We start from the raw sequence: 24111 nt of genomic DNA on the forward strand, positions 1-24111 counted from the left end.
AATGATACGAGAGAGCACCCAGGGATTATAAGAGGAAACACTTTATTACATCACTCATCTAACATTCCAGAAAATGGAAAGTACTCTACTGTACAGCAAAGTAAATCATTGGTTGTCTGGAGAACAGAAAGAAAGCCTTTATAAAAAGGTTCCAAGTAAATATAAAGGTGTTAAGTTCATTATTGTGACTATGTTAATGGTTTCATGGGATTATATGAAACTCAAGATTTATCACATGCTACAGCTTAAATATGCATAGCTTACTGAATGTCATTTATAACTCATCACAGCTTTAAAATATACTTCAGACTGGCAGCAGTGGCTCACACCTGTATTCCCACCACTCTGGGAGGCTGAGGCAGGCATATCACCTGAGGTCAGGAGTCCAAGATCAGCCTGGCCAACATGGCAAAACTCCGTCTCTACTAAAAATACAAAACTTGGCCGGGCATGGTGGCACATGCTTCCAGTCCCACCTACATGGGAGGCTGAGCCAGGAGAATTGCTTGAACCTAGGAGGTAGAGGTTGCAATGAGCCAAGGTCATGCCACTGCACTCCAGCCTGGCTGACAGTGAGACTCTGTCTCAAAAAAAAAAAAAAAAGGTTGGGCACGGTGGCTCATGCCTATAATCCCAGCACTTTGGGAGGCCAAGGCAGGCGGATCACGAGGTCAGGAGATCGAGACCATCCTAGTTAACATGGTGAAACCCCATCTCTAGTAAAGATACAAAAAATTAGCTGGGTATGGTGGCGGGCACCTGTAGTCCCAGCTACTTGGGAGGCTGAGGCAGAAGAATGGTGTGAACCCAGGAGGCAGAGCTTGCAGTGAGCCGAGATCGTGCCACTGCACTCCATCCAGCCTGGGCAACAGAGCAAGACTCCGTCTCAAAATAAATAATAATAATAATTAAAAAAATGCAGTTCAAAAGAAAAATATAGATTTACCATTATTTTTGGAAAACAGGTTTGGCAACTCTATACTGACTACACCAATTCTTCTCATGCCCTAAGTGGGAAAACTAGCCTCCACGGTAGCAAATATTGATGTGGCACTAAGGCCATTTCCACCTGATTAAGTGGCTGGCTGGTCACAAAGGCCACATCACTGAACTGAGATCTCCCTTCTCCCTATCATCTTCCTCCTGTTAATGCAGGAATGACCTTGAGGAGAACAGCCCAGAATGAGTACAGGAATTCACAAAACCTTTAGATTATTTCCTCTGACAATGGCCTCAACAATACAATATTCATCATTATGGAAGTCCTGATAATTCCTGTATCTGCATATTCATCATATACGTAGTGACTGGATCATTGTGGATGCCCTTTTAAAAGACATGCATTACGCTGCACGTGGTGGCTCACCTGTAATCCCAGGACTTTGGGAGGCTGAGGCCAGCAGATCACAAGGTCAGGAGTTCGAGACCAGCCTGGCCAACATGGTGAAACCCCATCTCTACTAAAAATACAAAAATTAGCTGGGTGTGGTGGCATGTGCCTGTAGTCCCAGCTACTCAGGAGGCTGAGGCAGGAGAATCGTTTGAACCTGGGAGGCAGAGGTTGCCGTGAGCCAAGATTATGCCACTGCACTCCAGCCTGGGCAACAGGGTGAGGCTCTGCCTCAAAAAAAAAGAAAAAAAAAGAAAAAAAAGACATGAGTTGCAGTTACATTATTCTGTCTCCTCCACTGCCTATAAATAAAGTAATTCTATAAAATTATAATTTCACCTGATAGCATTACAATCTGTGATGTTATCCTACAGAATTCTGGATATCAGGGCATGTGTCTGCATTGCAAGAGCTGGGCAACAGACTTCCCTCAGCCGTACCAAGTACAATGCAATATACCTCGTAAAAGAATTTTGTCTTGTTCAAAAAATGCCAGAAATTGTCACAAAAAATGCCCTGTATCCAGCTGACCTATGAACCCACAAATTTTAGTATCCGTGCTACAGATAAAGACCACAAAGCCCTGAAGGTCTTCTCTGGAGGCCTCTGGCAGCTATGCAAAGCAGTCCACAAGTGGAGAAAGCTACATTCTGCATTCATACTGTTCCATGAGCCACAAAGTTTAGCTATGCCAACAAAAGCTGTGACCCCCTTCATAGTAACAGGACCTACTTATTTCTGAACCACCCATACAGTGACAACAACCCTCAAGATTGAAGAAGGCTGAAACAATAAGGCCTTCATAATAGCACAAACCGGAGAAATGGGAGGCAAGCTGTTCTTAGGATCATGACTTGGAGGGTAGAAAATTTGTCAAGATTGATGTGATACCCACAAGATCTCTGAAAGACATAGTCCGTCTTTTCAAGTCAACGTAAGAGGCCTCTGGGATAAAAATGGGTAACGTCCATGGCATGACTTATCAGACAGAAAAAAATGACAAAGGAAGAAGTGCTGAAGCTACTCAACAAATCCTTCTGTGACTCGATCAGAAATTAAAAGTTAAAAAAAAAAAAAAAAAAGGCCAGGCACAGTAACTCACACCTGTAATCCCAGCATGTTTGGAGGCCAAGGTGGAAGGATCGCTTGAGCCAGGAGTTTAAGACCAGCCTGGGCAACATGGTGAGACCCTGTCTCTCCAAAACTTAAAAAAATTAGTGGAGCATGGTAGTGCATGCCTGTGGTTTCAGCTACTCAGGAGGCCGAGGCAACAGAATCACTTAAGCCCAGATCAAGGGTGCAGTGAAATGTGAACACACCACTGCACGCCATCCTGAGCGACACAGTGACAACCTGTCTCAAAAAAAATCTAGCAAGGTACCTGGGTATAGTGAAAAATGCACTGTAGCTGCCACACACTTGGAACTTTTGCAGATGCTCAATAAATGACATTCAATCTAGGTAGGTGGCACTCTCAAAGGGTTACATTGAAAAAGAAATAACATTCCATATACATCTATGGTGTTTTTCTCATGTCAATGTTTGAGGCTCCAATAAAAAGGCTGAAGGCTTTCTTGCATTCATTACATTCAAAAGGCATTTCTGCAGTGGGAAGTCTCCTGTGTGTTATGAAGCTAGATTTCTACATAAATATCTCACATGTCACACTGGTAAGGCCCTGATCCAGTGTTAACTCTGATCTTGAAGGAGCAAAGAGGTGTGGCTACAAAATTGCCCAAATGTATTTTATTTGTCTAGTGTGAACTCTCTGATATTCAAGGAGAAAAGACCTTCAGGTAACTTTTTTCCCACATTTGCTGCAATCACAAGACCTTACTCCAGTGTGAACTCTCCTGTGTTTAATGAGACTGAAAGTTTCAGCAAAGGATTTCCCACATTCACTGCACTCATAAGGTGGTGTGACCAGTGTGAACTCTCTTATGAACACAGAATGCAGAGCTGTGGGTAGATGACTTCCCACAATCACTGCATTCATATGGCCTTTCTCCAGTGTGAACTCTCTGGTGTGCAATGAGGTGGTCCTTCTTGCTAAAAACTTTCTGACAATCCTCACACTCATATGGCTTTTCTCCAGTGTGAACTCTGGTGTACAAGGAGGTGAGACTTCTTGTTAAATAATTTCCCACATTTCTCACATTTATAAGGCTTTTCTCCAGTGTGAACTCTCTTGTGTTTAGTGAGACTGGAGCTTTCAGCAAAAGATTTTCCACATTCACTGCACTCATAAGGCTTTTCTCCAGTGTGAACTCTTTTGTGTTTTGTGAAACTGGAGCTTTCAGCGAAAGATTTTCCACATTCACTGCACTCATAAGGCTTTTCTCCAGTGTGAATTCGCTTATGAACACAGAATGTAGAGCTGTGGGTAAATGATTTTCCACAATCATTGCATTCATAAGGCCTTTCTCCAGTGTGAACTCTCTGATGTGCAATGAGTTGGTACTTGTTTCTAAAAAATTTCTGACAAGCTTCACAAGCATATGGCTTTTCTCCATTGTGAATTCTCTGGTGTACAAGGAGGTGAGACTTCTTCTTAAATAATTTTCCACATTCCCTACATACATAAGGTCTTTCTCCAGTATGGCCATGCTGGTGTAGAATGAGGTTACCCTTGTGACTAAAACATTTCCCACATTCCCCACACTTAAAAGGTCTTTCTGTAGTGTGAACTCGCTGATGATTCCTAAGGTGTCCTTTTTCATTAAAAGATTTCCCACAGTCTCCACACTTGTAAGGTCTTTCTCCAGTGTGCATGCGCTGATGGTGAACAAGGCTGCGCTTATGACTAAAAGATTTCCCACATTCTCCACACTCATAAGGCCTCTCTCCAGTATGAACGCGCTGATGGCTCCTAAGGTGCCCGATTGAACTAAAAGATTTCCCACATTCTCCACACCCATAAGATCTTTCTCTAGGGTGAACTCGCTGATGTAGAATGAGGGTGCCTTTATGACTAAAAGATTTCCCACACTCTCCACACTCATAAAGTCTGTCCCCAGTGTGAATTTGCTGATGGTTCCTAAGATGTCCTTTTGAACTAAATGATTTCCCACATTCTCCACACTCATAAGGTCTTGCTCCAGTGTGAACTCGCTGGTGTAGAACGAGGTTGCCCTTTTGACTGAAAGATTTCCCACATTCTCCACACTGATAAGGTCTTTCTCCACTGTGAACTCGCTGATGGTGAACAAGGCTGCGCTTATGACTGAAAGATTTCACACATTCTCCACACTTGAAAGGTCTTTCTCCGGCGTGAACTCGTTGATGGCTCCTAAGATGTCCTTCTGAACTAAAAGATTTCCCACATTCTTCACACCCATAAGGTTTTTCTCCAGTGTGAAATCGCTGATGTTGAATGAGGCTGCTCTTTTGACTAAAGGATTTCCCACATTCTCCACATTCATAATGTTTTTTGTCAGTGTGAACTCTCTGATGATTACTGAAGCTAGCATATTTGCTAAACGATTTCCCACATTCTCCACATTCATAAGGTCTTTTCCCAGTGTGAACTCTCTGATGATTACTGAAGCTAACATATTTGCTAAAGGATTTCCCACATTCTCCACATTCATAATGTTTTTTTTCAGTGTGAACTCTCTGATGATTACTGAAGCTAGCATATTTGCTAAACGATTTCCCACATTCTCCACATTCATAAGGTCTTTTCCCAGTGTGAACTCTCTGATGATTACTGAAGCTAACATATTTGCTAAAGGATTTCCCACATTCTCCACATTCATGTTTTTTTTCAGTGTGAACTCTCTGATGATTACTGAAGCTAACATATTTGCTAAAGGATTTCCCACATTCTCCACATTCATGTTTTTTTTCAGTGTGAACTCTCTGATGATTACTCAAGCTAGCATATTTGCTAAAGGACTTCCCACATTCACAGCACACATAACACTCTTCTCTAGTGAGCAGTCTCTGGTGCTGACTGAGTATATGTTTGGTGCTAAAATGTTTCATGGATTCTCCACAGCTGTAGTGAGCTCCCCCACACTGAATGGGAGACACACACTCAGTTTTGCTGTTTGACTTCTCCCCAGTGTGACTGGCCTCCTGCTGGAGTAATCCTGACCTGGGCAAAAAGTCCTTCCCACTCTCACTGAAGACAGATGACTCCCCTGACACATGCAACTTACACCTCTTTGCAAACAACGCCTCCTCAACACTCCCTCTGTAGGGTTTCTCTCCAATGTGCTCATTCTGGTGCTGATGAAAGTTTCCACTGTCATACAATTTATTCCCCCAGGCCTCACACCTGTGCAGTTTCTGCTTGTGATGTGTTCCCTGATGATCTGCCACATGCAAAATGTCTCCCAAGATCGGGCCACACATCTCACAGGGGTGGGCCTTCTTGGGAGACACACCTGCCATAGGAGTCCTGACCTGAGTCTCTCTTTGTATATAAATACTCTGCTTAGAAGGTGCCGCCTCATCTTCCACTCCACACCAACAACCTGAAAGCAAGAAAATGCTGGTGAAGTGCATGTTAACTCTGGTGGGAAGGCACAGACCACCCACAAGTGTATCTGAAAAACTGAGGAATTACTCCAAGGAACTACTTGGAGGAACAGGATGTTGGCTTCAGGCGGAAGATGGTGCTATGTATTATTACTGGACTATAACGGTCACAGAATGTAGGAGGCCTCATAAGTTAAAGGACACAACCATGTATGTAAAACAGGGAGTACAGGCAGGGTCTACAATCCCTGCATCTGCAAACCACTCATCTGCAGAATTTATGTCCTCATGACATGTGAGTGCTGTAGAGAGGGATTTGTCCAGGCCAAGGAAAACACAAGCACAACACAGCAGCTACTCGAGGAGAGTTTAACAAAGTATATATATTCGCTAACACAAATCTCTATGCCAACACTGGAGAGAACACTGTAGATGGTGACGTATGTAAATGGATGAGATCTGGGGCCCAGAGATATGAAGATTAGATAGGAGAATGGACATTAGGGTACAAGTTCATGTACAAGTGGGTCAAAAGTTAAAAAAGAAAGAGTAGAAGCGATAAGGTAGACAAGTGTGATGCTCTCAAGAATGAGGAAGAAAAGACAAATTATGTGTGCCTACTTGCCTTGCCACAAAACTACTACTAAAATAGAACAGGTTGTTGGTATGCTTTCAATAAAGCCCTGACTCCATGACCTCCTCCAGGGTGCCGCTTTTTTTTTTTTTTTTTTTTTTTTTTTTTTTTTTTGAGATGGAGTCTCGCTCTGTCACCCAGGCTGGAGTGCAGTGGTGCGATCTGGGCTCACCGCAACCTCCCCTCCTGGGTTCAAGCAATTCTCTGCCTCAGCCTCCCGAGTCACTGGGATTACAGGCATGTACCACCAGGCCTGACTACTTTTTGTATTTTAGTAGAGACAGGGTTTCACCATCTTGGCCAGGCTGGTCTTGAACTCCTGACCTCATGATCCACCTGCCAGGGCCTCCCAAAGTGCTGGGATTACAGGAGTGAGCCACCATCCCCAGCCCAGGGTGCCACTCTTTAGGGACTCACTCCTTCTGAGCCTATTATGCTGAGGCTGAATTCATTTGCATCTTCTGGATCAAATGGAGGACTGTGCCTCCCACCACAATGATGACCAAATACATGGGACATGAATGATGCACAGACTAAGGGAAAGACAGAACAAGGGAACAGCCAACATTGTCTCAGAACAACTCAGCCCATGACAGCCCATGAGAGAAAAAAACTGAGTATTTCAAGGAGAATTTCTAAAGAAGGTCTTGCAAGAACAGCCTCTGGTCTATATAGGCAGTGATGTAGTCTGTGAAGGCAATTCCTGCCACAGGAAGGCATAAGAAAATAGCAGCTAGAGAAAGGAAGTAGACTGTGGGTACACAGGAACCTGAAATCTGGACAAGGACACCCAAACATCCACAGGACTAACAAGGTGGGCTTCTGACTGGGAATCCCTCCCTGGGAGCCTGCAGTAAAGCAGGTGTTGGGGCTGCTCCAAGAAAGGAGTAGGGCAGTATGTACACCTCAGACCTACCAACCAAGAACCTACCCACAGAACTGAAGCAGGAAGCTGTGTCCATGCTCCTGACATGAGAAAGTCTTACCAATGGGGAAAGATAGGGGAAAACAGAGACTAGCTCAGGTCACAGGGTGAGTGTGAGCAACTTACCCAGGGAGGATATAAGTGCCAGGTTCTCCAGCGTCACATCACGGTACAGGCATCTCTGAGCCTCACTAAGGAGATTCCATTCCTCCCAGGTAAAGTTCACAGCCACATCTTCAAAAGTCACTGTGCCCTGTTATGATGTTGACAGATGAAACTACAAACTGCCCCTATGCTGAGGTATCACAATCCATCTCTCCCACACATCTACTCTCGCACATCCTCCTCTCAAGGTCCTCAAACATAGGAGAAACTAGGCCCACTGGTCATGGGGTATAGCCACCAACAATAGTTGAACAAATAGGTATCTGTGTGGTGGTTGTGACGTAAGAGTCCACCCCCTCCTGACAGGCACTTTCCCTAGTATGGCCAAGGTCATGGAAAGCCCAATGTGGCACCTTCAGCACAGCAGAGATACCCTCTCTGAACACACCTCATTCTTTAGACTTCCAGGTACATTCCATGTCCATCCCCAGGTGACTGCCACACACCACTGGCCTCTCTCTGGCCTTTAAACAACTTAAAGTATATTTTTTTGTTTGTTTGTTTGTTTGAGACAGAGTCTCACTCTGTCACCAGGCTGAATGTAGTGGCATGATCTCGGCTCACTGCAACCTCCACCTCCTGGGTTCAAGCAATTATCCTGCCTCAGCCTCCCGAGCAGCTGGGATTACAGGCATGTACCACCACACCTGGCTAATTTTTGTATTTTTAGTAGTGATAGGATTTCACCATGTTGGCCAAGCTGGTCTCGAACTCCTGACCTCGTAATCCTCCCACCTCGGCCTCCCAAAGTGCTAAAACTACAGGCATGAGGCACCGCGCCCAGCCAGCTTAAAGTATCTTAATTCCCTCCTTTTTCTTCAACTAGTGTGGGTTGATATCTACCCCTAGGGCTATAATGTTGGTAAAACAAATTACATCTGATATTCTACACATGTCATCAAGAGCAATCTACAAATCAATTGTATTGAGCCAGGCGCGGTGGCTCACATTTGTAATCCCAGTGATTTCAGAGGCCGAGCCAGGTGGATTGCCTGAGGTCCGGAGTTTCAGACCAGCCTGGTTAACAATGTGCAACTTCGGCTCTACTAAAAATACAAAAAATTAGCTGAGCGTGGTGTCGGGCGCCTGTGATCCCAGCTACTTGGGAGGCTGAGGCAGGAGAATCGCTTGAACCCAGGAGGCAGAAGTTGCAGTGAGCCGAGATTGCGCCGTTGCACTCTAGCCTGGGCAACAAGAGCAAAACTCTGTCTCAAAAAAAAAAAAAAAAAAAAAATCAAATATATTAACAGCCTGATAAGAGGGACACCACTCACCACAGAGAGCCACATGGGGGTTGCATTGTGGATAAGAGAGAGCAACCATGGCCATGGCATGCAAGCTTTGTAAGATGAAGAGAGTGTAATGGCCTGATTCCCTCAGGAGGATGCCATTGACTTATTTGAATAACTCTGGACATAAAAATGGAATTGAAACTCACTACAAACTATAACAGGAACTCTGCCTGGTCCCATTGATCGAAAGGCTTCAGAGGCTAGGATACATTACCTTTTTTTTTTTTTTTTTGTGATGGAGTCTCACTCTGTCACCAGGCTCGAGTGGGGTGGTGCAATCTCGGCTCACTGCAACCTCCGCCTCCTGGGTTCAAGCAATTCTCCTGCCTCAGCTCCTCAGTAGCTGGGATTACAGGCATGTACCACCATGCCCAGCTAATTTCTATATTTTTAATAGAGATGGCGTTTCACCATATTGGGCAGGCTGCTTTCAAACCCCTGATGTCAAATGATCCACCCGCCTCAGCCTACTAAAGTGCCGGGATTACAGGCGTGAGCCGCTGCACCTGTTCAGATATATTACTTAAGAGTGTGAAGTGGCCAGTCATGGTGTCTCACACCTGTAATCCCAGCACTCTGGGAGGCCAAAGTGTAAGGACTGCTTGATTCCAGGAGTTCAAGAGCAGCCTGGACAACACAGCAAGGTCTTTTTCTACATACATGCACACACACACACGCACACATACACATGCACACAAGGGAAAAAAATTTAAAATATATAAAAAGAGAGTTAAATGGGAAAGAAACTTGCACTCAGGCCATTTGTGGTTATACCAATATGACCAGGCATCCAGGTGGCAAATCACACTGGGCCTTAATTTTTGGCCTTACACTACATCGTAGCTGACACCATCCAGAGTGTATGGCCCATTCAAACCGATCCAATATTACCACAGAACTGCAATTCTATTGGATCCTAAAAGGAGCGGTGGTCTCAAGTAATTCTGTGAGGACCTCCTTGCATGGCTCCACAGAAACACAGAACCATGTGTGGCTTCAGCTATCCATGACCCTATTCCACTTCTGTGCTACACTTGCCAGCCCCTCAGCAATGATGACCTTTCCCTCAATTACTTCTGTACTTCTGCCTGCATCTCATCTCTATTATCTCCATGGAAGTCTGCCCCACGACAAGCTATGCCCTCTGATACACCCTACATTCATTGTCACTTACCTCCCTCTCCTGTGTGAATGCATAACACAGGTTATGAATGCCAATAATGTCCGCCAGGGACCCAGGCAAAACATCTAGTCCTCAGCCTCCAACCAGTCCTTTCTGGTTCCCTAAAAGATTTACTACCTTATTATGAAGTGTGCCCTCCAAAATGGGACCCATGGCTAACGCACCTTAGTCCACACATTAGCTATCATATACTGGATGTCTCCAATATCAATTCCTTCCCAGATATCCCGACCTATGTGGACAAGCATCTCAGGGTCTGAGCATGGTGAAAACAACCCTCCTTATATTCCCAGTGACTATATTATGCCTACTCCCAACTTGCTCATCTCAGCTGATACAGCTTCTATCACTGCTGCTGCTAAGGCCAAAAACCCTAGGGTTGCCAGGCACGGTGGCTCGAGTCTGTAATCCCAGCACTTTGGAAGGCTGAGGTGGGTGGATCACCTGAGGTCAGGAGTTCAAGACCAGCCTGACCAATACGGTGAAAAACTCTGTCTCTACTAAAATTACAAAAATTAGCCGGGCGTGATGCCGTGTGCCTCCTGTGGTCCCAGCTACTCAGGAGGCTGAGGCAGGAGAATTGCTTGAACCTGGGAGGCAGAGGTTGCAGTGAGCAGAGATCATGCTACTGCACTCCAGCCTGGTGACAGAACAAGACTCCACCTAAAAAAAAAAAAAAGCAAAAACAAAAAACCCCCAGCGTCATACCTGAAACCCTCTTGCATGTCCTTACCGACCGCATTAGAAAATCTAGCTGCTCCTTTACCAAATGTAAATCACAATTCTAGCGACATCTCCTTGGCCAACAATCATCCATTAAACCTCACCTGGATGACAGAATGAGCCTCAACGCTGTCTTCCTTCCTCCTCCCTTAACCCCATGTTCCTTTCTCCAATGTGGAGCCAGGCAGAGAAGTAACATCACCTCCCCACTCTGATCAGTTTTATCTCTGAGCATTTCACATACTGCTACCAAATCCAAGGCTGACCTTCTAAGTGTTTACACAGTTTCACTGAAATGGGAATACCTCCATACCACCTGCGTTATGGACTTAGGGCCTAGGGTTTAGGGTTTCTCTAGTGTTTCCGGTTGAAAGGACTGAGCTCGAGAGGTGCAACAGAGCAGGATGGCGGAATAGAAAGCTGCACCCATCATACCCTTAACAGAACACCTTTTTTTTTTCTTTTTTTTTTTAAGAGAGAGTCTCGCTCTGTCACCAGGGCTGGAGTCCAGTAGTGCTACCTTGGCTCACTGCAACCTCTGCCTCCGGGGTTCAAGCAATTCTCCCTAATTCTCCCTGCCTCAGCCTCCCAAGTAGCTGGGATTACAGGCACCTGCCACCACACTCGACTAATTTTTGTATTTTTAGTAGAGACACGGTTTTGCCATGTTGGCCAGGCTGGTCTCAAATTCCTGACTTCAGTTGATCCGCCTGCCTCAGCCTCCCAAAGTGCTGGGATTACAGGCGTGAGCCACCACACCCGGCCCAGAACACCAAATTTAAACACTGTCAACACAGAAAAAAATCACCTTTGTAAGAACCAAAAATCAAATGAGCACTCACAGTACCTGGATTTAATTTTGTATTACTGGAAATGGCACTAAAAGGGGCTGTAGAGTCTTGAGTTGCCAATGCCACTCCTCCCCATCCCCCAGCAGTGCCTGCCTGTTGTGGAGAATCTGTGCTCCTGGGAAGGGAAAGCGCAGTGACTGTCAGACGTTGCACAGAACTCAGTGCTTCCCTGTCATAGCAGAAAGCAAAACTGGGCTGAACTCAACGGACGCCTACCCAGGGAGTAAGCATAGCGACCAGCCCAGCCAGAGGGGAATCGCCCACCCCAATGGTCAGGACTTGAGATCTGGCAAGCCTTGCCACTGTGGGCTGGAGGGCTCTGAAGTCCTAAATAAACTTGAAAGGCGGTCGAGGCCACAAGGACTGCAACCCCTAGGCATGTCCTGTGCTGAGCTGGGCTCCGAGCCAGGGGACCTGGTTGGGTTGGGGGAGCACAACCTACTGAGACACCAGTTGAGGTAGCTAAGGGTGTGCTTGTGCCACCCCTCATGCAACCCCAGGCTACGTGGCTCCTTCCTTCCACTCGAGGAGAGGAGAGGGAACAGCAAAAAGAACTTTGTCTTGCATTTTGGATGTCACCTCAGCCACAGGATAGGGCACTGGGCAGGGTTGTGAGGACCCATTCCAGGCCCACCCAGATAATATTTCTAGACACACTCTGGACCAAAACAGAACCTGCTGCCTTGAAGGGAAGAATTCAGTCATGGGAGGACCCATCACCTTCTGACTAAACAACCCTTGGACCCTGAATAACTAGCAGCAGTACCCAGGTAGTATGCGATGGCACTGGGTGAGACTCTGAGACATGCCAGCTTCAGATGTAACACAGCACACTGCTAGCTGTGGTGGTTACGGTCAGAGACCCCACCTGCTTGAGAATAACAGAGGAAAAAGTAAAGGGGACCTTGTCTTGCACCTCAGCTGCCAGCTCAACCACAGAGGGATAGAGCACCAAGAAGCCTCTTGGGGTCCCTGATTCCAGGCCTTGGCTCGTGGATGACATTGCTGGACCTGCCCTGGGTGAGTCTTGAAGAGTCAGCCTCAGACCAGGCAACATTCACCACAAGCTGACTGAAGAGCTCTTAGCCCTTAATGGAACCTCAGTGGTAGTCTGACAGCACTCCCTGTGGGCCCGTGCTGGTGGTGGCCACAGAGTGAGGCTGCTCTGCCTGTGGAAAGGGGATGGAAGAGTGGGAAGGGCTCTAGCTTGTAGTTTGAGTGCCAGCTCAGCTGCAGTGCAAAGGAACACCAGGTAGATTTCTAAGGATTTTTACTCCAATCCCTGGCTCATGGATGGCATCTGTATACCAACCTGAGGCCTGGGGAACTCACCGTCCTAAGGAGAAGGACATAAGCCTGTCTGGCTTTGCCACCTGCTGACTGTACCGGGCTAGGGCCTTGAGGGAACACAGGCGATAGCCATGTAGTGGTCACAGGAGCCTTGGGTGAAACCCAGTGCTGTGCTGGCTTCAGCTCTCACCCAGCACAGTCCCAGTGGTGGTAGCTAAAGGGGTGCTTCTGTCCCAACCCCCAGTTTCAGGCACTTCAGCACTGACAGAGACATGCTGGGACAAAGTGAGGGAAGACCCAACAAGAGTCTCTACCTGTTATGTTAATCAAGGGAAATATTTCAGATCTTATTCAAGACCACAAAGGTGGTATAGCTCTCTGAGTCTGCAAGAGTCACAGCATTACTGAGTGTGGGGTTCCCGCTGAAGTAGATTCAGCTTAGATCACAACACCCGGGTCCTTTCAAATACCTGGAAACTCTTCCTAAGAAGGACAGGTACAAATGAGCCCAGACTGTGAAGACCACAATAAACACCTAACTGTTTAATGCCCAGACACTGATGAACATCTACAAGCATCAACACCATCCAGGAAAACGTGACCTCACCAAACAAACTAAATAAAGCACCAAAGACGAATCCTGGAGAAACAGAGATACATGACCTTTCAGACAGATAATTCAAGATAGCTATTTTGAGGAATTTCTCAAGACAAACACGGAGAAAGAATTCAGAATTCTATCAGATAAATTTGGCAAAGAAATTAAAATAATTAAACAGAACTGGCCGGGTGTGGTGGCTCACACCTGTAATCCCAGCACTTTGGGAGGCCGAGGCGGGCAGATCACAAATTCAGGAGATCGAGACCATCCTGGCTAATGGGGTGAAACCCCATCTGTACTAAAAATACAAAAAATTAGCCAGGTGAGGTGGCGGGCACCTGTAGTCCCAGCTACACGGGAGGCTGAGGCAGGAGAATGGCATGAACCCCAGGGGGGCAGAGCCTACAGTGAGCTGAGATCACGCCACTGCACTCTAGCCTGGGCGACAGCGAGACTCCATCTCAAAAAAAAAAAAAAAATAGAACTGGCCAGGCATGATGGCTCATGCCTGTAATCCCAGCACTTTGGGAGGCCAAGGCGGATGGATCATGAGGTCAAGAGATCGAGACTATTCTGGCCAATATAGTGGAACCCCGTTTCTACTAAAAATACAAAAATTAGCCGGATGTGGTAGTGCACACCTGTAGTCCCACCTACTCGGGAGGCTGAGGCAGGAGAATCGCTTGAACCTGGGAGGCGGAGGCTGCACTGAGCTGAGATCGCACCACTGCACTGCAGCCTGGGTGACAGAGAGAGACCCTGTCTCAAAAAAAAAAAAAAAATCAAAATGGATTAAAAAAGACTTAAATCTAAAACCTAAAACTATGAAACTACTACCAAAAAAGACTGAAGTGGGCAAAGATTTCTTTATTTTTTTTTTTGAGATGAAGTCTCACTCTGTTGCCCAGGCTGGAGCGCAATGGCACAATCTCGGCTCACTGCAACCTCCACCTCCCAGGTTCAAGTGATTCTCCTGCCTCAGCTTCCGAGTAGCTGTGATTACAGGCATGTACCACCACACCCAGCTAATTTTTGTATTTTTAGTAGAGATGGGGTTTCCCCATGTTGCCCAGGCTGGTCTCAAACTCCTGACCTCAGGTGATCTGCCCGCCTTGGCCTCCCAAAGTGCTGGGATTATAGGCGTGAGTCACCGAGCCTGGCCGACAAAGACTTCTTGAGTAATACCTTTCAAGCACAGGCAACCAAAGCAAAATTGGACTAATGGCATCAGATCAAGTTAAAAAGCTTCTGTACAGCAAAGAAAACAATCAACAAAGTGAAGAGATAACCCACAGAATGGGAGAAAATATCTGCAAACTACCCATCTGCAAAGGGATTAATTACCAGAATATATAGAGTTCAAACAACTCTATAGGAAAAACCCTTAATAATCCCATTTAAAAATCTCAATAGACATTTCTCAAAAGAAGACATACAGTCAGGAGCAGTGCCTCCCAGCTATAATCATAGCAGTTTGGGAGACTGAGGCAGAAAGACCACTTGAGCCTAGGAGTTTATAACCACCCTGTTTAACCAGTGAGACCCCCATCTCTACAAAAAAGTTTAAAAGCTAGCCAAGGCAAGGTGGCACATGCCTGTGGTGGTCCCTGCCACTTGGGAGACTGAGGTAGCAGGATAGCCTGAGCCCAGGTGGTCGAAGCTGCAGTGAGCCATCATCACACTACAGCATTCCAGCCTGGGTGACAGAGCAAGATCCTGTCTCAAAAATACAAACAAAAGACAATGACATACAAATGGCAAACAGGTATAGGAAAAGGTGCTCAACATCACTGGTCATAAGAGAATGCACATCATCTCACCCCATTAAAATGGCTTATTTATATCCAAAAGACAGGCAATAACAAATGCTGGTGAGGATGTGAAGAAAAAGGACCTCTCGTACACTGTTGGTGGGAATGGAAATTAGTACAACCACTATGGAGAACAGTTTGGGGGTTCCTTAAAAAACTAAACATTAAGCTAGCATATAATCCAGCAATCCCACTGCTGGGTATAAACCAAAAGGAATCCAGTATATCACAGAGATATCTGCACTCCCATGTTTGCTGCAGCACTGTTCACAGCAGCTAAGACTTGGAAGTGACCTAAGTGGTCATCAACAGATAAATGGATAAAGAAAATGTAGGCCGGACGCAGTGGCTCACACCTGTAATCCCAGCACTTTGGGAGGACGAGGCCGGTGGATCAGGAGGTCAGGAGATGGAGACCATCCTGGCTAACACAGTGAAATCCCAATCTCTACTAAAAATACAAAAAATTACCCAGGTGTGGTGGCACACGTGTTTAGTCTCAGCTACTTGGGAGGCTGAGACATGAGAATCGCTTGAACCCAGGAGGCGGAGGTTGCAGTGAGCCATGATCGCACCACTGCACTCCAGCCTGGGCAACAGAGAAGGACTCCGTCTCAAAAAAAAAAAAAGAAAAGAAAATGTGAGGGCGCGGTGGTGGCTCACACCTGTAATCTCAGCACTTCGGGAGGCTGAGGTGGGTGGATCATGAGGTCAGGAGTTCAAAACCAGCCTGGCCAAGATGGTGAAACCCCATCTCTACTATAAACTACAAAAATTAGCCAGCCGCAATGGCAGGCACATGTAATCCCAGCTACTCCAGAGGCTGAGGCAGGAGAATCGCGTGAATCTGGGCAGCAGAGGTTGCAGTGAGCCGAGATTGCACCACTGCACTACAGCCTGGACAACAGAGTAAGACTGTGTCTCAAAAAAAAAAAAAACAAAAAACAAAGAATAAGATCTAGAAAAAGAGAATAAGATCTAGAAAAAGAGAATAAGACCTAGAAAAAGAGAATAAGATCTAGTATTTAGTAGCACAACAGGGTGACTACAGTAAAAACAACCTAATTGTACATTTTTAAATAACAAAAAGAGTATAATTGGATTGTTTGAAACACAAAGGATAATGCTTGAGGTGACGGATACATTAACCCTAGTATGATTATTACCCACTGCTTGCCTGTATCAAAATATCTCCTGTAGGCGGAGGTTGTGGTGAGCTGTGATCACGCCACTGCACTCCAGTCTGGATGACAGAGTGAGACTCCTTCTCAAAAAAAAAAAAACAAAAAAACAAAATAACTCCTGTAACTCATAAATACATACACCTATTATATACCCACAAAAATTTAAAATTTAAAAAAGAAAATATTTTTAAAAATAAAAAATAAAGAGTCCCACAACACCACAAGCTAGAGAACATATAGGTCGGGGTCAGTACCAGTGAGGGAATGGAACACTCTCCACTTCCTTATCTGAGTTCCTAAAATGCTTCTAAGTGCTTGGAGGAGAGGCAGACATTACAGGAATGTGTCCCTGATAGGATGTGATAAGCTCAGACCTCCAGGTACCCCTCCTTGGCCCTGGAGTCAGGTGACCTCAGACTGCTTGTCTGACCTGCATGCCTCAATGTAAAATGTCATCTCTGCCACCTATGTGATCTACAACAAAGATTCAACCTCCCAGGGCCCCACGGTGCTCATCACTTCTCTCCACTCTGTTCTTCCTTTGATTGGCCTTCGGAAAACCTTTAAAATCCAGATTTTGATCCTGTCCTTTGTATAGAGCACACTTGACATAACTAACTCCATCTTAGAAAAAGACAATTTGTATTTCACAGGGCACTCTGCCATCAAGGGTAAGATGCTTTGTTTAATAAACAAAAAAAAAAGACGGCCAGGCACGGTGGTTCACGCCTATAATCCCAGCACTTTCGGAGGCCGAGGCGAGCGGATTGCCTGAGCTTGGGAGTTCAAAAGCAGCCTAGGCAACATGGCGAAACCCCATCTCTACTAAAAATACAAAAAATTAGCCAGGTGTGGTGGCGGGTGCCTGTAATCCCAGCTACTCGGGAGGCTGAAACAAGAGAATCTCTTGAACCCGGGAGGCGGAGGTTGCAGTGAGCTGAGATCACACCACTGCACTCCAGGCTGGGTGACAGACTGAGACGCTGTCTCAGTAAAATAAATAAATAAATAAAATAGGCTGAGTGTGGTGGCTTATGCCTGTAATCCTAGCAAGTTGGGAGGCTGAGGCGGGCGGATCAGTTGAAGTCGGGAGTTTGAGACCAGCCTGACCAACATGGAGAAACCCCGTCTCTACTAAACATACAAAAAATTAGCCGGGTGTGGTGGCGCATGCCTGTAATCCCAGCTACTGGGAGGCTGAGGCAGGAGAATCGCTTGAACCCGGGAGGCAGAGATTGCAGTGAGCCGAGATCACACCATTGTACTCCTGCCTGGGCAACAAGAGCGAAACTCCGTCTCAAGAAAACAAAACAAAATAAAAAATAAAGACTACATCTAACCAGGTAAGGTCACAAACAAGGAAACTCTTCCACTATCAGTTCTCACCAGAGTATTCTGTAACTGTAAAAGATTAGGCCTTCAGCAGCTCAAAACTCAGCATCTGCTGCCTAAGGCTCTGCCACCTCAAAGACTCTTCCTTGTAAGACTGCAGGCCAATTGCCCACCAACTGGCCCAGACCAAGATGCCTTTTGTCTTCCTTGCTCCCTCTAAACTGGTTCCATAACGTTTGCTCCTATATCTTTTTCCTCTTGATGCTAAGCATTATTTTGTTCCTTGTGTTGTAATGCCCAACCTTGTTTTCACTAATCCTGTTTTTAGACTCTCCCTTTTGCTCTCTTAATCACCTAGCCTCGTTTCCACATGAATAGACTCTCGCTTAGCTGAGAAAGCCAGACGAGCTCCACCTGGCCCCCTTGATTTACAAGACATTAAGGACTCCTTACCCACCCCCCTTTCCTCAAGGAGTTAACTTGTGTAAGCAGATTCTCAACATATCAAAGGAGTCCAATTAACTGATAAGGGACTGGGAACAAACCATGTATGAAGTTCCCAGGATTTTGCTCAAAAGATAACACCATAAAGCCTTGAGTTTGTGTCTGGCGTAGTGCCCATATCTAACTCTTATGAAGGATTTAGAGCGCCACACCTGGTACCTTGCCTTTTTGTAACCATTTGTCTTTTAAATTGTTTGTTTCTCTGTAACCATTTATCCTTTTAATTTTTTGCATGTTTTTACTTCTGAAGAGTTGTTGCATTTAAGCTCCCCTCCCCTTCCTAAACCAAAGTATAAAAGTTAATCAAGCCCCTTCCTCGGGGCCGAGAGAATTTTGAGCGTTAGCCGTCTCTTTGGCCGCCAGCTGAATAAAGGACTCTTAATTCGTCTCAAAGTGTGGCGTTTTTCTAACTCGCCCGGGTACAACAGTGTTATGTTTAACCTTTAACATTTACATGTTAAGTATACTATTGTGTATTGTTTGCTATATTGACTGACTTGGGGAGTGTCTTCAGCCTCTGTGCCCATGGCCAACTACCAAGTGAACTGGAATCACAAGAGAATTGCCTCCTTCGAACTCCATTTAGCTCATGGCTTTTGTTGACTCAAATATCACCTGACACTGTGCAAAGACACAAACATGCATGGACCTGATTATCTCTACCCTTACAATGCTCATGACATCCCTCCTTTCTTCGAAAATCTCCATGCCTTCTAGGGTCCTCACGTGAGTTCATAGCCCCCAGCCTGCTTGCTCTTCCAGGAGGAGCTCCGCCTCATAATTTGCTCCCAACAGGCACCTGTGGACCCCAGATTCCATCCTTCTGGCTCAGTTCACTTCCAGGCCTTTGCCCGCGCCAGTCCCTGTACCTGCCGGTCTCCCCACCGCATCCCACGGGTGTCAGAAATGGGGCCCCTCCCGCAAGCGCCTCAGTGTCCCAACGCCGGCGTCCGGGCTGCAGAGCCGTGAACAGGCGCTGCTACCTCGCTGCTTTTGGGTGACGATGAGGTGACCTGAGGACACAGAAGGCCCCACAATTACCTGAGCGGAGAGCCTCAGCGTAGCCGCGGCAGCCATCGAACCACGTGGTTTTAAGCAGAGTCGGGAGGATAGGGCGACCAGCCAGGAGATATGGGCACGACGGTCCGTATCCTGGCCCAGGAGTGGGTCACGCTGGGCGCCGTCACAGAGCTCCAGAGTAGCCTCTGTGCAGCGGAGGACAACTGCTCCCCGACTTCTGGGTTCAGTCACCACAGTGCGGACCTAGCGCTCAGGAGCCTCTCCTACAAATAAATCCAACACCAATCAAAATGGCCGCCACCAGAGGGCGCCGGAAGTCCGGACCCATTGTCACGTGCACACAGGAAACGCCTTTATTCTGAGCCCTCAGAGGTCTTCTACGCTATCATTCGAGGCTGAGTTTTCTGGGTAATGTAGTTCCCTAGGCAACAAGGAGGGTAAAGGGCGCAATTCCCAGAGGCGCTTCTGCAGGAAAAGCCCAGCTTCACCTCGGGAGTATCCTTAAGATGTGCGTCCTGACTGGTATGGTGGCTCCCGCCTGTAATTCCACCAGTTTGGGAGGCCAAGTCACAAGGATCATTTGAGGTCAGGAGTTAGAAATTAGCCTGAGCAACAAAGCAAAATCCTGTCTCTACAAAAAATAAAAAATATTAGCGGAGTGTGGTCGGGCGGGCCTGTGGTCCCAGCTGCCCTAAGGTTGGGGTTAGGGTTAGGGAGCCTGAGGAGGGAGAATCGCTTGAGCTCAGGAGTTCGAAGCTGCTGTAAGCCGAGATCGTACCACTGCATTCCAGCCTGGGCAACAGAACGAGACCTCTTATCTAAAAAATAAAAATAAGGGCCAGGTGCGGGCGGCTCACGCCCGTAATCCCAGCACTTTGGGAGGCCGAGGCAGGTGGAACACCTGAGGTCAGGAGTTCAAGACTGGCCTGGCCAACATGGTGAAACCCCGCCTCTACTAAAAATACAAAAATTAACCCACATGGTGACATGCGCCTGTAATCCCAGCTACTGGGGAGGCCGAGGCAGGAGAATCTCTTGTACATGGGAGTCAGAGGTTGCGGTGAGTGAGATCCTGCCACTGCACTCCAGCCTGGGTGACACAGCAAGACTCCATGTTGGAAAAAAAAATAAAAATAAAAATAAAAAAATAAATAAAAGATTGCAGATCTTTCTCCTAGGCAGAGGATCATCCTGCCTCTCCTTAGAACTCACATTGAGATTTCTTGGGGTTATTGGCTGTAACTGATTACCCTAGTGTATGGAAAAATATTATTTCAGAGTTAGTGTAGATGTTCCCAAAGGCTACAGATCCAAATTCACCTATCATTTCAGATGGTCCTTCAGATGCAAAATTCTTCCACTGGAAGCAAAGATTAATGCAAAGATTAATAACCATTATTGTATTGTTAAAATGAACGTGTAAACACCCAGAGGGTTCATTTTTCCTACTGCCCAGATAAAGCCAATTTATCAGGACAGGGAAATTGCAAAAGAAAAAGAGTTTTATTCACACAGAGTTGGATGAACAGCATACTGGAGTCTTACTAGTATTACTCAAATCAGTCTCCCTGAAAATTGCGAGACTGGGGTTTTTTGTTGTTGTTGTTGTTTATTTGTTTGTTTGTTTTCTGAGACAGAATTTTGCTCCTGTTGCCCAGGCTGAAGTGCAATGTCACGATCTCAGCTCACTGCAACCTCCGCCTCCTGAGACTGGGGTTTTTTAAGGATAATTTGGTAGATAGGGGGCCATGAATTGGGGAATGCTGATTGGTTGGGTTGGAGATGAAATCATAGGGAGTCAAAGTTGTTCTCTTGTGCTGAGTGGGTTCTGGGGGAGAGGGAGGCACAAGACCAGATAAGCCAGTTTACCCATCTGAGTGGTGCCATCAGATCCATCAAGTTCAGGGTCTGAAAAATATCTCCAGCACCAATCTTAGCTTTTGCAATGGTGATACCATCCCTAGGAACAACTGGGGATGTTTACAGTCTTGTGGCCCCTGGCTGCATGACTCCTAAATGATAATTTCTAATCTATGGGGCCCTAATAAATCAGTAAGTTAACAGGAATTGGGAAGGAGCCAAGCTGGCAGAACAAGAACCTAACCCCATCTGCAACCTCTTTGTGGGAAGAAACCACAGCTGTCAGAAGTGTTTAACAGAGCAACTCCGTCTTGAATAGGGGTTGGATAAAATGAGGCTGAGCTGCATTCCCAGACAGTGAAGACATTCTAAGTCACAGGATGAGATAGGAGGTCAGCACAAGATACAGGCCATAAAGACGTTGCTGATAAAACAGTTTGCAGTAAAGAAGCCGGCTAAAACCCACCAAAACCAAGATGGCCATGAGAGTGACCTCTGGTCGTCCTCACTGCAACACTCCCATCAGTGCCATGACAGTTTACAAATGCCATGGCAACATCAGGAAGTTATCCTATATGGTCTAAAAAAAGGAGGCATGAATAATCCACCCTTTGTTTAGGATATAATCAAGAAATAGGGGCCAGGCGCGGTGGCTCACGCCTGTAATCCCAGCACTTTGGGAGGCTGAGGTGGGTGGATCACAAGGTCAGGAGATCGAGACCATCCTGGCTAACACGGTGAAATCCTGTCTCTACTAAAAATACAAAAAATTAGCTGGGCGTGGTGGCGGGTGCCTGTAGTCCCAGCTACTTGGGAGGCTGAGGTAGGGGAACGGCGTGAACCCGGGAGGTGGAGCTTGCAGTGAGCCGAGATTGCACCACTGCACTCCAGCCTGGGTGACAGAGTGAGACTCCGCCTCAAAAAAAAAAAAAAATCAAGAAATAACCATAAAAATGGGCAGCCATGCCAGGCATGGTGGCTCACCCCTGGAATCCCAGCACTTTGGGAGACCAAGGTGGGAGGATCATGAGATCAGGAGATGGAGACCATCCTGGCTAACAACAGGGTGAAACCCAATCTCTACTAAAAATACGAAAAAATTAGCCGGGCGGCTCTGTCTATGGAGTACCCACTCTTTTATTCCTTTACTTTCTTTTCTTTTTTTTGAGCAGGAGTTTTGCTCTGTCACCCAGGCTGGAGTGCAGTGGCATGATCTCAGCTCACTGCAACCTCCACCTCCTGGGTTCGAGCAATTCTTCTGCCTCAGCATCCTGAGTACCTGGGACTACAGGTGCGCACCACTATGCCCGGCTAACTTTTGTATTTTTAGTATAAACACGGTTTCACTATGTTGGCCAGGCTGGTTTCAAGCTCCCAACCTTGTGATCTGCCCACCTCAGCCTCCCAAAGTGTTGGGATTACAGGCGTGAGCCACTGCACCCGGCCCAGACCAATGTATTTCTTTAATGTATTTGATTGATGTCTCTTGCCTCCTTAAAATGTATAAAACCAAGCTGCGCCCTGACCACCCTGGGCACATGTTCTCAGGACCTCTTGAGGGCTGTGTCACAGGCCATGGTCACTCATATTTGGCTCAGAATAAATCTCTTCACATAGTCTACAGAGTTTGACTCTTTTCATTGACACTGAAGAAACCCCCAACCCAGAGGAAAATCATCTGTGTGCACCACTTGGCTCACTTTGAGTGAGTGGGGTGCATATACCCAGATAAAGAATGAGATTGGTTTACAGGCCCAACTTGGTGGAGTTAGAGTCTCTCCTGGTTAAAGGCTCCTCTCAATAAAAGGCAAGGACACTTGACCAAACTTTGGTTCAATGCCCAAATTAGGAAGATTAGATTACTTCCTAAGAGTTAGGGGGTTAGAGGCCCCTCTCAGTAAAGTCCCTCTTGGCTAGGAATGGGTTTGGCACAATGGGCTGTTAACTGCTGTTCTCTTTGGAATAATCTGCCTTGCTGATGGCTATGGGTGACAGGACTAGGAATGTACAGGATCATGGGACATGGGGAGCTTTTTCCTCCCCAAAAGGGAAAACTTGCGAGCTGATGGGACTGCTGGAAAAGATCCCCTTGCTACTGACAAGCAGCCACCTGAACTTTTCAGTGTCACTGCAATGGGAGTGGGGGGGGCTTCTCTGGCCTCTCTAAGCTCCTGGCCTTCCCCACCCTGCCACAGGCAATGTTTTTCTCTGTCTCCTTTCCCTTTCTTATCTTTTCTGTTATTCAGGGTGACCATCTTGCCCAGAGACCAAGTTGAAACTCATGGTCGGAGGTTGGATTAAAGATGATGGGGCCCAACCAGGGCAAGTTTGAGCCTTGCCTGTTAGATATTCCAGGCGGAGCCGAGTGGCTAATGTGTATGTTTTGTCACACGTATTTTGCTCTGGCCAGAATGGAAAAAGATAATTTAGCTTTGTATTGCAGATTGGCCCCCAAGGGTGTGGTGCAGCCAGCTGGGTCACTAGAGGCTCTCAGGGAAAGGCAAACCAGAAGCCTGGAATGCTGGAATGCCAGCAAAAGGGTAAGAATTTCTTTTTTGTTATTGATTTTTTTTTTTTTTTTTTTTGGAGACGGAGTCTTGCACTGTCGCCCAGGCTGGAGTGCAGTGGTGTGATTTCGGCTCACTGCAACCTCCGCCTCCTGGGTTCAAACGATTCTCTTGCCTCAGCCTCCTGAGTAGGTGGGATTACAGGCACGCACCACCATGCCTAGTTAATTTTTGTATTTTTACTACAGACAAGGTTTCACCATGTTGGCCAGGCTGGTCTCCAACTCTTGACTTCAGGTGATCTGCCCGCCTGGGCCCCCCAAAGTGCTGGAATTACAGGCATGAGCCACTGCA

The 24111-nt window shown here is 46.5% G+C and overlaps 1 protein-coding gene across 3 annotated transcripts in view, besides 4 other annotated features; it reads right to left on the bottom strand.

Moving 5' to 3' along the window:
- Positions 1-25: 25 nt before the first annotated feature.
- ZNF814 (zinc finger protein 814) overlaps positions 26-24111 on the bottom strand; it is a 35748-nt gene continuing 11662 nt past the window's right edge. Inside the window, exons 2-4 of one of the 3 annotated variants that reach the window (XM_047439309.1) lie at positions 19412-19653; positions 7561-7687; positions 26-5871 (exon numbers count right to left, since the gene is read on the bottom strand). In XM_047439309.1, coding sequence (XP_047295265.1) covers positions 3467-5871; positions 7561-7687; positions 19412-19447 — 2568 coding nt within the window. In that variant the 5' untranslated portion in view covers positions 19448-19653 and the 3' untranslated portion in view covers positions 26-3466. Of the gene's footprint in view, positions 5872-7560; positions 7688-19411; positions 19683-24111 lie in introns of those variants that run through there. The other 2 variants (NM_001144989.2, XM_017027197.2) reach the window with 2 other exon arrangements.
- Positions 17826-18558: an enhancer, noted in NCBI's record as "OCT4-NANOG-H3K27ac hESC enhancer chr19:58398549-58399281 (GRCh37/hg19 assembly coordinates)". NCBI's record gives its function as "activates a minimal SCP1, AML or CMV promoter by ChIP-STARR-seq in naive and primed H9 embryonic stem cells {active_cell/tissue: H9 hESC(naive and primed)}" and the evidence as "EXISTENCE:reporter gene assay evidence [ECO:0000049][PMID:30033119]".
- Positions 18583-19126: an enhancer, noted in NCBI's record as "H3K27ac hESC enhancer chr19:58399306-58399849 (GRCh37/hg19 assembly coordinates)". NCBI's record gives its function as "activates a minimal SCP1, AML or CMV promoter by ChIP-STARR-seq in primed H9 embryonic stem cells {active_cell/tissue: H9 hESC(primed)}" and the evidence as "EXISTENCE:reporter gene assay evidence [ECO:0000049][PMID:30033119]".
- Positions 19127-19669: an enhancer, noted in NCBI's record as "H3K27ac hESC enhancer chr19:58399850-58400392 (GRCh37/hg19 assembly coordinates)". NCBI's record gives its function as "activates a minimal SCP1, AML or CMV promoter by ChIP-STARR-seq in naive H9 embryonic stem cells {active_cell/tissue: H9 hESC(naive)}" and the evidence as "EXISTENCE:reporter gene assay evidence [ECO:0000049][PMID:30033119]".
- Positions 19343-19392: an enhancer, noted in NCBI's record as "active region_15168". NCBI's record gives its function as "activates an Ori minimal core promoter by ATAC-STARR-seq in GM12878 lymphoblastoid cells {active_cell/tissue: GM12878}" and the evidence as "EXISTENCE:reporter gene assay evidence [ECO:0000049][PMID:35858748]".

This window comes from Homo sapiens, chromosome 19, assembly GCF_000001405.40.
Source record: "Homo sapiens chromosome 19, GRCh38.p14 Primary Assembly".
In the NCBI taxonomy this organism is placed as follows: domain Eukaryota; kingdom Metazoa; phylum Chordata; class Mammalia; order Primates; family Hominidae; genus Homo; species Homo sapiens.